Source organism: Homo sapiens, chromosome 1 (assembly GCF_000001405.40).
Source record: "Homo sapiens chromosome 1, GRCh38.p14 Primary Assembly".
NCBI classification, from domain to species: Eukaryota; Metazoa; Chordata; class Mammalia; order Primates; family Hominidae; genus Homo; species Homo sapiens.
This window is the reverse complement of record NC_000001.11, coordinates 169,527,600-169,545,269: the sequence shown is the minus strand read 5'-3', so window position 1 is coordinate 169,545,269 and position 17,670 is coordinate 169,527,600. Positions and strand designations below refer to the sequence as shown.

Here is a 17,670-nt window from a genome sequence, read left to right as displayed (position 1 = left end):
CAGTTATAGACCATTTAGAAAAACATCTAGAATGAGGTATAAACTAATAATACATCATGTAAATTATTAAAGTCACTTAAGTGATTTAAGTAGGTATTTAAATATTTGTTAATGCCAGTCATTATACTGGTACTAAGGCTAAGAGTGGTAATCGAGGTAGACATGAGCCCTGCCCTTGTAGAAATCATACCTTTGGTTTTTTACTATGCTTAGTACATAAGTAAATAAAAATATTGCCTACAGCAGTGTCCCTTTTAACAATAATGAAATGTATGAACTGGATACTCAAATGGAAACTGTGAATACTATGTAGATTATAAGACAGCAATAAAAACTATAAAATATGCTAAATGGGCTTTATTTTTAGGGACATTACTTCTTACCCAATGACTAATATATCAAAAAGATGAATTTCTTATATTATGCTTTTCCTCCAAGTGGAATTATTAGAATATCTTTAAAGGCAGAGAATGGAGCACAAAATATTTACTATACATTTGATGAATGACTAAATCAATGTAAATGGAAGGCTTTATCTTTTTCCTGAGATTTCTCCTTTGGCTAATTTAGGAGAATAATCTCTCATTTGAAAATTCTGAGTTTGATCTTCTAGTCACATGTTAGACTAGATAAAGCTTATCTTGGATAATCACTGCTTTGACACAACCAAATTAACATGGAGACATTTATCTTAGGTATAATTAGACACATGCCCTTTTGTTGGCATAGACTTGGAATTTTAACAGATTTTACACTTTCAGCTATCAATGGCTATGTGCCTGAGAGCATAACTACTCTTGGATTCTGCTTTGATGACACTGTCCAGTGGCACTTCTGTAGTGTGGGGACCCAGAATGAAATTTTGACCATCCACTTCACTGGGCACTCATTCATCTATGGAAAGAGGCATGAGGACACCTTGACCCTCTTCCCCATGCGTGGAGAATCTGTGACGGTCACAATGGATAATGTTGGTGAGTAAGAGTCTGGACACTCACAGAGGAAGCTTGCTTTGAATTTCTGGTCTATAAAGGTCTGCTGCAACTCTCCAGGCTACCAGTGCTCCTCTATGTATCTCCCTGACCCCCTGCAGGCTTTTCTTTCAATGTTTCTCATGATTTCTCTTTGAGAAATTAATGACTTAAATGGATCCAGTTCTTTAGTGTGGGTTATATTTTTCCTTCTCTGGGCAAAGTAGGAAGTAAAAATATACAACAGCAGAAAAATAAGGCATAACTCTGAGGAAGAAGCATAAATATTTTGGCCACAAAAGAGCATTTCTTTTATCAAAATGCCCTATTCGGTTTTTTGCAACAGTCATCTTCAATCATCAGGTACAGTGCCTTAAAGGCTGCTTCAGCAACAGCTTTGGAGTTTGTCAGACTGGAATGCAAGTCCTGATCTGCCAATCGATTGCTGTGTAACCTTACACAAGTTACTTGGCCACACTGAGCCACAAGTCATTTATCTGGAAAACAGTGTAATCACATCTCACAGAGTTACTTTGACCATTAAAATAGTAATATGCGCCAAGTGCCTAGCACTCAGTAGACACCAACAATGGTAACTATTGGAGACTCACCAAGAAATCTTTGATGTTCCAGCAATGCATGCCATTTCAGAGATTCAAAATTGTCCTCGTGAATTATTACTTAGAAACATCTAAATGTCTCTTATTTGTGGGGATAGAGCTCATCACCATCCCTTTAATTCTAAGACAAGATGTGCTGTTAGGATATTTATGATATTAAAAGTCCATTTTATTCTTGATTCATCCCTTTCTTAATATATTTTAAAATAGTGAGCAACTATCTGTGCTGAAAGACCTTTTTTCCCCTCTAATCTCCACTAAGCAACACTTTTGTTTTTTATTCTGTTAAGCGAGATGAACGCACTGGTCATGTGCTTAGAGTCACAGCAATGTCAAATTGCTTTAGAAAAACAAAAGTTTACTAAATATTTCATTCTCATTTTTCTCTCCTTGTGTTATTTTGACCCAGTAATCAATAGGTCACAGACAAGCAGTGGTCCACAGCCCATACTTGAATATTCCTGACGAAAGTTTATTAGAAATTACCTGCCACAATGGATTATTGTGTTTTCATGTCTTTTCCCAGACTTCCAGATCTCTCTTCTGTCTGTCTCTCTTCTGTAGGAACTTGGATGTTAACTTCCATGAATTCTAGTCCAAGAAGCAAAAAGCTGAGGCTGAAATTCAGGGATGTTAAATGTATCCCAGATGATGATGAAGACTCATATGAGATTTTTGAACCTCCAGAATCTACAGTCATGGCTACACGGAAAATGCATGATCGTTTAGAACCTGAAGATGAAGAGAGTGATGCTGACTATGATTACCAGAACAGACTGGCTGCAGCATTAGGAATCAGGTCATTCCGAAACTCATCATTGAATCAGGAAGAAGAAGAGTTCAATCTTACTGCCCTAGCTCTGGAGAATGGCACTGAATTCGTTTCTTCAAACACAGATATAATTGTTGGTTCAAATTATTCTTCCCCAAGTAATATTAGTAAGTTCACTGTCAATAACCTTGCAGAACCTCAGAAAGCCCCTTCTCACCAACAAGCCACCACAGCTGGTTCCCCACTGAGACACCTCATTGGCAAGAACTCAGTTCTCAATTCTTCCACAGCAGAGCATTCCAGCCCATATTCTGAAGACCCTATAGAGGATCCTCTACAGCCAGATGTCACAGGGATACGTCTACTTTCACTTGGTGCTGGAGAATTCAAAAGTCAAGAACATGCTAAGCATAAGGGACCCAAGGTAGAAAGAGATCAAGCAGCAAAGCACAGGTTCTCCTGGATGAAATTACTAGCACATAAAGTTGGGAGACACCTAAGCCAAGACACTGGTTCTCCTTCCGGAATGAGGCCCTGGGAGGACCTTCCTAGCCAAGACACTGGTTCTCCTTCCAGAATGAGGCCCTGGAAGGACCCTCCTAGTGATCTGTTACTCTTAAAACAAAGTAACTCATCTAAGATTTTGGTTGGGAGATGGCATTTGGCTTCTGAGAAAGGTAGCTATGAAATAATCCAAGATACTGATGAAGACACAGCTGTTAACAATTGGCTGATCAGCCCCCAGAATGCCTCACGTGCTTGGGGAGAAAGCACCCCTCTTGCCAACAAGCCTGGAAAGCAGAGTGGCCACCCAAAGTTTCCTAGAGTTAGACATAAATCTCTACAAGTAAGACAGGATGGAGGAAAGAGTAGACTGAAGAAAAGCCAGTTTCTCATTAAGACACGAAAAAAGAAAAAAGAGAAGCACACACACCATGCTCCTTTATCTCCGAGGACCTTTCACCCTCTAAGAAGTGAAGCCTACAACACATTTTCAGAAAGAAGACTTAAGCATTCGTTGGTGCTTCATAAATCCAATGAAACATCTCTTCCCACAGACCTCAATCAGACATTGCCCTCTATGGATTTTGGCTGGATAGCCTCACTTCCTGACCATAATCAGAATTCCTCAAATGACACTGGTCAGGCAAGCTGTCCTCCAGGTCTTTATCAGACAGTGCCCCCAGAGGAACACTATCAAACATTCCCCATTCAAGACCCTGATCAAATGCACTCTACTTCAGACCCCAGTCACAGATCCTCTTCTCCAGAGCTCAGTGAAATGCTTGAGTATGACCGAAGTCACAAGTCCTTCCCCACAGATATAAGTCAAATGTCCCCTTCCTCAGAACATGAAGTCTGGCAGACAGTCATCTCTCCAGACCTCAGCCAGGTGACCCTCTCTCCAGAACTCAGCCAGACAAACCTCTCTCCAGACCTCAGCCACACGACTCTCTCTCCAGAACTCATTCAGAGAAACCTTTCCCCAGCCCTCGGTCAGATGCCCATTTCTCCAGACCTCAGCCATACAACCCTTTCTCCAGACCTCAGCCATACAACCCTTTCTTTAGACCTCAGCCAGACAAACCTCTCTCCAGAACTCAGTCAGACAAACCTTTCTCCAGCCCTCGGTCAGATGCCCCTTTCTCCAGACCTCAGCCATACAACCCTTTCTCTAGACTTCAGCCAGACAAACCTCTCTCCAGAACTCAGCCATATGACTCTCTCTCCAGAACTCAGTCAGACAAACCTTTCCCCAGCCCTCGGTCAGATGCCCATTTCTCCAGACCTCAGCCATACAACCCTTTCTCTAGACTTCAGCCAGACAAACCTCTCTCCAGAACTCAGTCAAACAAACCTTTCCCCAGCCCTCGGTCAGATGCCCCTTTCTCCAGACCCCAGCCATACAACCCTTTCTCTAGACCTCAGCCAGACAAACCTCTCTCCAGAACTCAGTCAGACAAACCTTTCCCCAGACCTCAGTGAGATGCCCCTCTTTGCAGATCTCAGTCAAATTCCCCTTACCCCAGACCTCGACCAGATGACACTTTCTCCAGACCTTGGTGAGACAGATCTTTCCCCAAACTTTGGTCAGATGTCCCTTTCCCCAGACCTCAGCCAGGTGACTCTCTCTCCAGACATCAGTGACACCACCCTTCTCCCGGATCTCAGCCAGATATCACCTCCTCCAGACCTTGATCAGATATTCTACCCTTCTGAATCTAGTCAGTCATTGCTTCTTCAAGAATTTAATGAGTCTTTTCCTTATCCAGACCTTGGTCAGATGCCATCTCCTTCATCTCCTACTCTCAATGATACTTTTCTATCAAAGGAATTTAATCCACTGGTTATAGTGGGCCTCAGTAAAGATGGTACAGATTACATTGAGATCATTCCAAAGGAAGAGGTCCAGAGCAGTGAAGATGACTATGCTGAAATTGATTATGTGCCCTATGATGACCCCTACAAAACTGATGTTAGGACAAACATCAACTCCTCCAGAGATCCTGACAACATTGCAGCATGGTACCTCCGCAGCAACAATGGAAACAGAAGAAATTATTACATTGCTGCTGAAGAAATATCCTGGGATTATTCAGAATTTGTACAAAGGTTTGGCCAGTTTTCTCCTTTTTTATTCTCATTTTTCCATTACTGCTGAAAAAAGTAGCTACTACAATTCAGGGGGATAATTGTGGGCAAATTATACTAAGAACAGTGTGGTTCCCCTATTGCAAGTTGGCCTGTTCTTTTTCCTTTGTCAATTCCAAGATTGCTTCTTTACCTTAGATGACCCCTGGACAATATAAGAACAATCACTGTGAGAACTCTATAATATTCTGTAATTAAGCATTTTTCTGTGTCCTCTCCTCTTACTACCCATGTTTCTACTGACTCTTATTGCTCCAGGCAGAGCCCAACCTATCCATAGCTATATGCTAATCAATATGATTTAATTGAAGTTAGCCTCAAATCCAAACTCAAATATGATGTAGAAATCTCCTTTTTGCATTTACTTGTTTAGATCAGAATTTCTAAGAGATCCAAATCCCTTTTTTAAAAGAATATTTACAATTCAGTTTTGCTTAGGGGTAGAAAGCCATGTTGAACTGGGCTCTTTGTTCTGGGATGAAGATACAGAAAGAGAAGAGAGAGGAGGAAAGGAGCAAGGCTTAGTCAACTACAAATTCTCAGGGATATAGCATGATGACTGTGCATCAGCTGTCTAGATATGCCCACAGCTTTTACTAAAGCTGTTACACTAATCACTTAAAAAACCAAAGTGTAATTACAGTAGGCAAACACAATGTATGGTGTGACTTATGCATATGAGTTCATTAATCTGATGCCTGACATCTCCACATTAGAACTCTGTTTAAAACACCTTTTCCTATGACTTCCTATTTAAATGTTGCACTCAATACCACATGAGAACAACTAGCTACCTGAGTATTTCTAAGCAAGGCCCCGAGGGAGTGAGATGCAGGGCCTGTCCAGAGTGAATAGGGATGGAACCACCTTCAAAATCTTGTATTCCATTCAAGGCTCACAACCCACTTTTATGGCATTCGGAGTTGCTTTACCCACTCCCTTGTGTTCTGTGAGTTTGCATGTTATGCTCAGAGTCTGGAAAGATGGGATTAGTAGGGGAGGTAGACCAGAAGAAAGGCAGAAGGAGATTCTCTGTTGATGACTCACAGTATATAGCAAATATTATGGGTTTGATGGGTGAGTGTTTGGCTTGTTTCCACAGGCTTGGGAAATGTGAGAGTCAGTGGGAGAATTCGACATGCTTCAGTCCTAGACTGAGCCAATGAACTAGATGGAAATAATGTGCTTTATTTATTTATTTATAATTTGTAATTAAACTTTTTATTTTGGAACAAAAATAAAATAGATTCACATACAGTCAAGAGAAATAATACGGAGAGATCCTTTGGGTATCCTGAGTATTCTTTACCCAGTTTCTCCCAGGGGTAACATTTTGCAAATCTATAATACTATATCACAACCAGCACACTGATGTTGATACTGTCAAGACACAGAATGTTCACCATCACCATAAAAATCCCTCTCATTACCCCTTTATAGTCACATCTGCCTTCCTCCCACCATAGCCCTTCCTTATTCCCTGGCAACCAGTAGTCTGATCTCCATTTCTATAATTTTGTCATTTCAAGAATATTACATAAATGGAATCAGGCAACATGTAACCTTTGGGGACTGGTATTTTTTCACTCAGTATAATTCTCTGGAGATTCATCTGGTTATTGCATGTATTCCATTATATGGGTGTACCCCAGTTTTTTTGTTGTTGTTGTTTTATACACATTTATGGTGTAAACATGATGTTTTAATATATTTATAAATTGTGAATTGGCTAAATCAAGCTAATTAACCTATGCATTACCTCACATACTTTTTTGTGGTTAGAACACTTAAAATGTACTCAGCAATGTTAAAAATTCAGTGTGTTGTTATTAACTACAGTCACCATCTTATACAACAGATCTTCTAAATTTATTTCTTCTAACTGAATTTTATCTTTTGACCATTTTCTCAATGCTCCACCTCTGTATCCCTTTGTTAACCACTGTTCTACCTTCTGCTTCTATGAGCTCAATGTTTTTAGTTTCCACATTATAAGTGAGATCCTGCAGTACTTGTCTTTCTGTGCCTGGCTTATTTTATGTAACATAACGACCTCCTGGTTCAGTCATGTTGTCACAAATGGCATTTCTTCGTTTTCTTTTTTTTAAATGCTAAATAGTATTTCATTGTTTATGTAGATCACATTTAAGAAATCCATTCATTTGTTTATAGACATTTGGGTTGCTTCCCTATCTTGGCTAATGTGGCTAATGCTGCAGTGAACGTGGGACAGCAGATATCTCTTCAACATACTGATTTCATTTTCTTTGGGTATATACCCAAAAGTGGGATTGATGGATCATGTGGTAATTCTATTTTTAATTTTTAAAGGAACCTCCCATACTGTTTTCCATAATGGCTGTACTAATTTACACTCTCACCAAGAGTATACAAGAGTTCCCTTTTCTTCACATCCATGCCAACATTTATCTCTTGTCATTTTTATAATAGCCATCCTAACGGTGTGAGGTGAGCCCTCATTGTGATTTTAAATTGCATTTCTCTGATTATTAGTAATGTTGAGCATCTTTTCATATATTTGTTGGTCATTTGTATGTCTTCTTTTACGAAATGTCTATTCAAGTCTTTTGCTCATTTTTTAATCAGGCTATTTGGGTTTTTTGCTGAATTGAGTTCCTTATATTTTTAATATTAATATTCTTATCAGATATCTGGTTTTCAAGAATATTCTCCCATTCCAAAGGTTGTCTCTTCACTCTGTTATTTCCTTTGCTGTGCATAAACTTTTGAGTTTGATGGCAATCCCATTTGTCTATTTCTGCTTTTGTTGCCTGTACTTTCGAGGTCAAATCCAAAAAATCTTTGTCCACACCAATGTCAAGAAGCTTAAGAATAATGGACATTAGCAAAAAACAAATGTGAGAAGAGTGGCTACTTTTAGGGTACAAAACATTCACCCATCCAGTGACTTTCATAAGTGTGACCTTCTAATTAATCTGACCATTGTCACCTGATAGCCCCAAGCTCTGGCACTGTCCCATTACATGGCTTTGTCTGCCTTTGATCTTAAAATTTGGTGTGTTAACATACGATTATATTTATACATTCATTTATATGTTTGACAAAAATTTATTAAGTTCCTGCTGTGTGTCAGATAATGTGCTTACCACTGGAGAGAGTACTATGAGCAAACTAGGCACAATGGCTGACCTCATGGCACTTATACCCAGTGAGAGACAGATATTAATAGATAATCTCACAAATAAATTATATATAATCTACAATATATATTCTAGAGATATTATAAGAATACTACAGGAATTTACTATATATACTATAATAATACTATAGAAATATGAGAAATTGATATAGAGACTTGACCTAGTCTAAAAGGTCATAGGAAGACTTACCTATAAAATAATATTTGAGTTAGGAATTGAAAGATATTTACTGGCTTTTGTTTTTATCCACTTATATATTTACTCATTTATCCACCAAGTATTTATTAAAGACCTTCTCTATGCTAGATGCTATATTTAGAAAGAGACAATTTCCTAAATTCTGGGAACAGTCTTTAATTTCTTCTTTTACACAAATAGTATTATTATTTCAGGGAAACAGATATTGAAGACTCTGATGATATTCCAGAAGATACCACATATAAGAAAGTAGTTTTTCGAAAGTACCTCGACAGCACTTTTACCAAACGTGATCCTCGAGGGGAGTATGAAGAGCATCTCGGAATTCTTGGTCCTATTATCAGAGCTGAAGTGGATGATGTTATCCAAGTAAGTCTTTTGAGCACTGCTAAGATCTTCGGAGGAATTTCCACAAGCACCAGAGGGTTGTAAAGGTGCAGGTGGCAAGAGAGCTATAGGTGATTTGTTTGTTTTCCAGGATTAATGAATAATTACATTTCTTTTCAAAGACTCCTTGCCAAGCAATTTGGCAATCTTCGAACTAAAAAAAAAAAAGATCTCATTTTTTAAATGCTGAAAACTATATAATCTGTGGAAAATCTTTCTGTAATTTCTATCTAAAGCTAACCTATCTAAAGTTAACACAGAAAATTAATATATTCAAGAGCAATTGAATTGGGTTTCATAGCAGTGGTGGTGGTGGTGGCAGTAGCAGTGCTAGTAGTAATAGTAATTTAGAAATATCTTCAGGTGTTTTCCTAAAAATTAAATAAAATGAAGTTAAATAAAATGAGTAAGGAAAGTAAAGATGTCTCCATGCCCTCCAAAAGTGAGCAAGTTTCTTCAGTGTCTTCCTAGTTCTGGTAATTTCTTTCAAAATCTTGTGTCCAGACCCACGATTATAACTTGCTTTTATAACAAAGTTTACTTCCGCCATTTTTGCTAACCGCTCACATTCAAAAACCCAGAAAGAACCCTGATTCTAAAGTAAGCTATTCTAGATTTTAAAATATAATCTACTATACCTGTGTAAGCATTCACTACATTTTCAGTGACCATTTGCTCTTTTTAAAAACGTAAACAAGTACATAGGGATATAAGAATCTTAATTATTCTAAATTTTCCATGAAGCTATGGGAGGCAATATTCTCTTTTATGATTAGGGGATCCTTTTTCAAGATGAACGATAATTTAACACAATATTTAAAAAACTTATTCTAAGTAACTCAGGAATCAAAAACCAGACACTGTATGTTCTCACTTACAAATGGGAGATAAACTGCGGGTATGCGAAGGCAGACAGATTGGTATAATGGACATTGGAGACTCAAAAGGGAACGGGGGATGGATGAAAAGCTACCTATTGGGTACAGGGTACACTACTCAGGTGACAGGTACACTAAAATCCTAGACTTCACCACTATACAATTCATCCATGTAACCAAAAACCACTTGCATTCCTAAAGCAACTGAAGTTTTTTAAAAAATTTAAAAATCAAAATTAATGCACGAAAGCCACAATAAACAAAACCTCACAATTGTGAATAAAGACAGGATAAGTAACAATGTTGCATTGAGACATACTGGAGCCTTAGGCAAAAGGAAAAAAATCAAATACTGAATCTTTGTTTTAGCCCTGGATTTCACTAGATAAAAATGACTTCATTTGTGTATTTTTAAAATAATTTTAACTTTTATTTTAGATTCAGGGGGCATATGTGCAGTTTTGTTATCTGGGTATATTATGTGATGCTGTTGTTTAGGGTATGATTGATCCCATCATCCAAGTAGCGTGCATAGTACCCAATAGTTTTTCATCCCTTGCTCATCTCCTTCCTTCCCCCTTCTAGAAGTCCCCAGTGTTTATTGCCATCTTTATGTTCATGAGTACCCAATGTTTAGCTCCCACTTATAAGTGAGAACATGTGGTATTTGGCTTTCTGTTTCTGCATTAATTCACTTAGCATAATAGCCTCCAGCTGGCATCCATGTTGTTGCAAAGGACGTGATTTCAGTCTTTGTTATGGCTGCGTAGTATTCCATGGTGCATATGTACCATATTTTCTTTATGTAGTCCACCACTGATGGGCACCTAGATTGATTCCATGTCTTTGCTACTGTGAATAATGCTGTGATGAACATCCTAGTACATGTGTCTTTTCAGTAGAACAATGTATTTTCTGTCTTTCTTTCTTTTTTTTTTTTTTGAGATGGAGTCTCACTCTGTCGCCCAGGCTGGAGTACAGAGGTATGATCTCAACTCACTGCAACCTCTGCCTCCCAGGTTCAAGCAATTCTCCTGCCTCAGCCTCCCGAGTAGCTGGGATTACAGGCACCCACCACCATGCCCAGCTAATTTTTGTATTTTTAGTAGAGACAGGGTTTTACCATGTTGGCCAGGCTGGTCTCAAACTCCTGACCTCGGGCAATCTGCCTGCCTCAGCTTCCCAAAGTGCTGGGATTACAGGCATGAGCCATTGCGCCCGGCTGAACAATTTATTTTCTTTTTTGGCTATATACCCAGTAATAGAATTGCTAGGTCAAATTGTAGCAGGACAAGCCACAGACAAAAACCCCTCAGACACCAAGTTAAAGAAGGAAGGGCTTTATTCAGCCGGGAGCTTTGGCAAGACTCATGTCTCCAACAACCGAGCTCCCCGAGTGAGCAATTCCTGTCCCTTTTAAGGGCTCACAACTCTAAGAGGGTCCACGTGAGTGGGTCGTGATTGATTGAGCAAGGAGGGGGTACGTGACTGGGGGCTGCATGCACCAGTAATTAGAACAGAACAGAACAGGACAGGGATTTTCACAGTGCTTTTCTATACAATGTCTGTAATCTATAGATAACATAACCGATTAGGTCACGGGTCGATCTTTAACTACCAGGTCCAGGGTGTGGCGCCGGGCTGTCTGCTTGTGGATTTCATTTCTGCCTTTTAGTTTTTACTTCTTCTTTCTTTGGAGGCAGAAATTGGGCATAAGACAATATGAGGGGTGGTCTCCTCCCTTAAAATAGTAGTTCTGTTTCAAATTCTTTGAGAAACCCCCAAACTTCTTTCCACAGTGGCTAATTTACATTCTAAGCAGCAGTGTATAAGCATTCCCTTTTCTTCACAGCCTCACCAGCATCTATTTTTTGACTTTGTACTAATAGCCATTCTGACTGGTGTGAGATGGTATTTCACTGTGGTATTGATTTGCATTTCTCTGATGATTAGTGATGTTGAGCATTTTTTTCACATTTGTTGGCTATTTGTATGTCTTCTTTTGATAAGTATCTGTTCATGTCTTTTGCCCACTTTTTAATGGGGTTATTTGTATTTCGCTTGTTCAATTGTTTAACTATCTTATAGTTTCTGGATATTAGACCTTTGTCAGATACATACTTTGTGAATATTTTTTCTATTCTGTGTCTGTTCACTCTGTAGATAGCTTCTTTTGCTGAGCAGAAGCTCTTTAGTTTAATTTGTCAATTTTTGCTTTTGTTGAAATGCTTTTGAGGAATTAGTCATAAATTCTTTCCCAAGGCTGATATCCAGAATGGTGTTTCCTAGGTTTTTCTTCTAGGATTCTTATAGTTTGAGGTCTGACATTTAAATCTTTAATCCATTTTGAGTTAATTTTTGTATATGATGAATCCAGTTTCATTGGATTCATTGGGGTTCAGTTTCATTCTTCCACATATGGGTAGCCGGCTATTCCAGCACCATTTATTAAATATGAGTCCTTTTCCCCTTGTTTTTTGTTGTTGTTGTTGCTGTTGTTGTTGACTTTGTCAAAGTTCAGGTGGTTGTAAGTGTGTGGCTTTATTTCTGGGTTCTTTATTCTGTTTCATTGGCCTATGTGTCTGTTTTTGTATCAGTACCATGCTATTTTGGTTATTGTAACTTTATAGTATAGTTTCAAGTCAGGTACTGTGATACCTCCAGATTTGTTCTTTTTGCTTAGGATTGCTTTGGCTATTCAGGCTCTTTTTTGATTCCATATGAATTTTAGAATAGCTTTGTCTAATCCTGAGGAAAATGATTCCAGTAGTTGTTAAAAAATAGTGTTGAATCTGTAGATTGCTTTGGGCACAATGGCTATTTTAACAATACTGATTCTTCCAATACATAAGCATAGAATGTTTTTCCATTTGTTTGTGTCATCTATGATTTCTTTCATCAGTGTTTTGTAATTCTTCTTATAGAGATCTTTCACCTCTTTGGTTAGATGTTTTCCTAGGTATTTTGTATGTGTGTGTGGCTATGTTTAATGGGATTTCGTTCTTGATTTCGCTCTCAGTTTGAACATTACTGATGTATAGAAATGCTATTTTGTACATTTGTACATTTTATTTTGTATAATTGATTTTGTACATTAATCTTGCATCCTGAAACTTTACTGAAGTCATTTATCAGTTCCTGGAGCCTTTTCATGGAGTCTTTAGGGTTTTCTAGGTACAGAATCATATTGCCAATGAAGAGAGATACTTTAACTTCTTTTCTTCTTTGGTTGCCTTTTATTTCTTTCTCTTGCTTGATTGCTGTGACTAGAATTTCCAGTACTATGTTGAATAAGAGTGATGAGATTGGGCATCCATGTCTTGTTCCAGTTCTCACGGGGAAGGCTTTCAGCTTTTGCTCATTCAGTATGATGTTGGCTGTAGGTTTGTCATAGATGGCTCCTATTAGTTTGAAGTATGTTCCTTCAATGCCTAGTTTGTTGAGGGTTTTTATCATGAAGGGATGTTAGGTTTTATCAAAAGCTTTTTCCACATTTATTGAGATGATGATACTGTTTTTGTTTTTAATGCGGTTTATGTGGTGAATCACATTTATTGATTTGCATATGTGGAGCCACTTTGCATCCTAGGAATGAAGCCTATGTGATTGTGATGAATTAATTTTTAATTTGCTGCTGGATTTGGTTTGCCAATATTTTGTTGAAGATTTTTGTGTCTATGTACATCAGAGATATTGGCCGGTAGTTTTCATTATTCATTGTGTCTTTGCCAGGTTTTGTTATTAGGGTGATGCTGGCTTTGTAGAATAAAATAAGGAACAGACAATTAGGGAGTCTTTAATCACTAGAAGTTATAGAAGGGCTGGGAGGAGCTTCATGGGTCTGACTGCTGGGGTGTGAAGACTTCTCATATGGCATTTAAGTCCTTTACCATCTGGCCCCAACCTGCTCCTTTTCTAGCCTCATTTCTCACCAGGTTCCACCTGTCCCTGTGCATTTCACAGCCCAGTTCCACCGAGATCCTTGCTATTCCCCAAACTCTTCCTTTACTCCCCTGCTCACAGGCATCCTTCTGCCCTTCTGAGAGTCTGAAATGTCTTTCTAGCTCCTGTTCATTCTATGATGGCCAATTCCATTTCCTCTAAGAAACTTACCTTAATTCTTCCAACCACTCCTAAATATTCAACCAAATTGTTCCTCCAGGGCATTGTCATCTGAACCCACTTAGACTTTGTATATAGCACCTGTTGTCTCCAGATTTGTAGTGTGGATGCCCATGTGCATGTCTGTTTCAGCAGGAGCTTAAAAGCTTCTTATGAACAAGAATCAAGCTTCTTTCATCTTCACATCTCCACTACCTATCACTCTCATTTCATTAGTAGATAATGTCAGTACTTTAGCCTTGAGCCTAAGAACAAATATCTTTTGGTATTTCTGGAGAAAACTACTTGGGCCATATCTCACAGGATGGTTATGAAAATTAAATGAAATAATATACATAAGTTATTTTGTACCTTATATCTTAGCTCCGATTTTATAACCAGCCATTTTGACTTATAATGCTGACATTTTTGTGGTTTAGATTTTTGTTAAGCTTAAGTACATTTGTGGATCATTCCTTTTCCTAGGTTCGTTTTAAAAATTTAGCATCCAGACCGTATTCTCTACATGCCCATGGACTTTCCTATGAAAAATCATCAGAGGGAAAGACTTATGAAGATGACTCTCCTGAATGGTTTAAGGAAGATAATGCTGTTCAGCCAAATAGCAGTTATACCTACGTATGGCATGCCACTGAGCGATCAGGGCCAGAAAGTCCTGGCTCTGCCTGTCGGGCTTGGGCCTACTACTCAGCTGTGAACCCAGTAGGTACTTTCATTGAAAGTTTTTCTCATTCCCCTAACCTCGTAATCTGAAGTCCACCAAATGGAAGAGTCGGGGTTATTTCTTGTCAAATGTCTGTCTTGCTTTTCATGAGGAATGCATAAGGGTGTGGTTAACAGTCTGCATTTATCATAACCAGGGACTCTCCATGCAGCTCTTCAGATGACAGAGAGAGAAACATTTATTCAGTGGAGAGGAGGAAAGATTACTTGAATGATTGGCCATGAATTAGAATGCCTACATTTACAGAAGATGGCATTTATTTGAAATTTTCTTGAACAAGTATTAGCTATGTTCTGCTCTTTCTTTATGAAAAGAACTGCAAAGTCAAGACTCCTTTATCTGACATTCTGCAATGTATATATACTTCAAAACAATATGTCATACACAGTATATGCATACAATTTTATCTGTCAATTAAAAAGAGAAACAACTCCTCCATTTCAGGCATAGTGGAAAGAGCACAGACTCAGATTTAAATTTTTACCCTGTCAATGCATAATCCTAGGAAATTCCTTGACCTCTCTTAGCCTGGTATCAGAAGTTAAAAATGAGATAACAGTACATAGTGCATGGTAAGCACTTGGTAAATATTTGTTCAATGAATGAATTTATATTTACCATATAAGATAGTTGTCAGGATTAAATGGGAGATTGCAGGCAAATCATTTAATATAGTAATAGATTCTCAATAAATAGTATCCCTTATATTATCAATTTATTATTATCATCATTGTTACTGGGATAAAGATCAATCAGAGGAAGGAGGATTATGAATACAACAGAATTAGGTGATAAATATCCAGGCTTATTATGCCATTCATTTATAATCTTCATCTTCAAATTCAGAGCCTATCAGAAAGTTTCCTTTTCTATATGATGAGTGATTATCAGAAGAGCAAGGAAATTCCTGAGAAAGAGGCAATACAATTTACTCTGTTTTTCCAGGAAAAAGATATTCACTCAGGCTTGATAGGTCCCCTCCTAATCTGCCAAAAAGGAATACTACATAAGGACAGCAACATGCCTATGGACATGAGAGAATTTGTCTTACTATTTATGACCTTTGATGAAAAGAAGAGCTGGTACTATGAAAAGAAGTCCCGAAGTTCTTGGAGACTCACATCCTCAGAAATGAAAAAATCCCATGAGTTTCACGGTATTTTCCTCAGACTTTGATCTAATCTCCTAATTAAATCACACTGGGTCACAGTGATTTCTGCCCTTAGATATTCACAAGATTAGACATGAGATGCTTCTGAGACACCCAGAGCTACAACTAAAACCGGTTCCTTAACATTCCAGAGGGCTGATGTAATCTGGCAGGTGACACTGTGGGTGAGGCAAAAAGAGAAAGTCTGAAAGATAGCACAGAGAAGCTGCTGCAAAACAAACCAACAGAAAACCACAACAACAAAAAGCCAGTGTGCTTCAGCTGGTAACATACATTGAAAAGGAATTAACATTGTTCTGCAATTTAAAGTTAATAAGCTTGTTTCTGGATCTCTAAAGGCACAAGTGTTTATATAAAAGAAATGATCACCTGTGTGTCTTTTCTAAAATAAGAATGACGCTAACAGTTTTAGCTCTCAGCAGCTACCAGGTGGCACCCAAAGCATATGAGAACAAAATGAGATAAGAAACTAGGTACCCAGGTAATAGGAGAATAGTGGCAAGAGAGCATTTGGGTGGTCACACTGGGAAAAGTGTGCCTATTTGGAAATTCACAAGGAAAATTTGCCCTGTAAGCTAGTAACTGAAACAGAAACTGAGAAGAGAAAGGTACGAGCTTGTGTTATGAATATGTAGATAGGTGTTCTCACGCCTGATATAATTTGAAGGATGCCCAAATGATCTCAACCCGTCCCTCTCCAAAAATTCACCTGCCTGGTTTCTGAAATTTCACAGCAGTTCCTCTAACTTAAGAAGGAGGAAACAAAGCACTTCCTTCACTTTGGTTTCAGTTAAACGTTTGGTAACACTAAACTTTATCTTTACAGTTTTGTGTTACATTTTTAAGGTGATCAAGTTTCTCAGGAACTTTTTAAAAAATCCGCGTATTTTACTGTGGGGAGAGTAGATAAAGCCTGAGAACCCTAGTTATCTAATCTGAGAAGTGGGCAGAGGAGTTGTCATACCAATAAGAGAATAAACATGACTTGCTATGGTTGCTGGATACACCAACGATAAACTCCTAATTTTATAAACTCCTAGACTTCCTAATTTGCCTGAAACTTTCTCTGAATTTAGAAGGCCTTAAGGTGACATGCTGCATATCTCCTTGCTGACTCTAATCCCTGGAGTTTACTTTGTCTGCCCATATTTGTATTTATCTTTTGTAGTTAAGGAAAATTAAGACTGTTAATGGAAAGTATACACGGGTAAAGCACGGAACTGTAAAAGCTGAGGAAAAGAGTGATAAACTGCTTGGAAAGGGAGTTCCCCCTGCCTTCTGCTGTAGGCTGGTGTGAATGATATGAGAAGGACTAGTGGTTCTGCTTTAGCCTCTCACTAATGTGACATACAAGAGGGCCCTTTCCATGGCTAGGTAGGCCTGGGAATGCAGAATCATGAGGAACATGGGTGTTGAGTGGGTTGCCCCATATTTCCTTACCACTCGCCCTCTCTGTGTCAACAGATTTTTAATTGATTTCAACTCTTTGTCCTTTCAGCCATTAATGGGATGATCTACAGCTTGCCTGGCCTGAAAATGTATGAGCAAGAGTGGGTGAGGTTACACCTGCTGAACATAGGCGGCTCCCAAGACATTCACGTGGTTCACTTTCACGGCCAGACCTTGCTGGAAAATGGCAATAAACAGCACCAGTTAGGGGTCTGGCCCCTTCTGCCTGGTAAAGATTGGGTAATGGGAAGAGGTCCCTGCTAAGAAATACAGGGAAAAGGCAATCTGTAACTCCTTCTCATTTCTTCCTTGTGCATATACTTCCTAAGGGGTCAGAACACAGGGTTCTGGCATAGAGCCTAGGCAAACCCATAGACCCAAAGTATATACGGAGTACAAAAATGTCACCTAATTTATGAACTATTTGCAGCACCACACAGGCTAAATGTGTGACCCAACTCAGTTGCAACATAACATGCAGTTTCTCCCAAGCCACTGTGTGTCATACAGATGAGGTCTTAAGCAGATGAAAAAATGAATCCCA

At 38.6% G+C, this 17,670-nt stretch overlaps 1 protein-coding gene across 1 annotated transcript in view, besides 2 other annotated features; it reads left to right on the top strand.

Annotated features, from left to right (window-relative positions):
• Positions 1-17,670, top strand: part of F5 (coagulation factor V) — a 74,531-nt gene that overhangs the window by 41,212 nt on the left and 15,649 nt on the right. The window contains exons 12-17 of the mRNA NM_000130.5: positions 762-974; positions 2,156-4,976; positions 8,590-8,764; positions 14,248-14,484; positions 15,452-15,662; positions 17,176-17,355. Coding sequence (NP_000121.2) covers positions 762-974; positions 2,156-4,976; positions 8,590-8,764; positions 14,248-14,484; positions 15,452-15,662; positions 17,176-17,355 — 3,837 coding nt within the window. The remainder of the gene's footprint in view (positions 1-761; positions 975-2,155; positions 4,977-8,589; positions 8,765-14,247; positions 14,485-15,451; positions 15,663-17,175; positions 17,356-17,670) is intronic.
• Positions 5,983-6,183: a silencer, noted in NCBI's record as "peak449 fragment used in MPRA reporter construct". NCBI's record gives its function as "represses an SCP1 promoter by STARR-seq MPRAs in K562 erythroleukemia cells {active_cell/tissue: K562}" and the evidence as "EXISTENCE:reporter gene assay evidence [ECO:0000049][PMID:32103011]".
• Positions 13,495-13,664: an enhancer, noted in NCBI's record as "experimental_1250 CRE fragment used in MPRA reporter constructs". NCBI's record gives its function as "activates a minimal promoter by MPRAs in K562 erythroleukemia cells, with activity observed for both the introgressed and non-introgressed 1:169500929 variant alleles {active_cell/tissue: K562}" and the evidence as "EXISTENCE:reporter gene assay evidence [ECO:0000049][PMID:34662402]".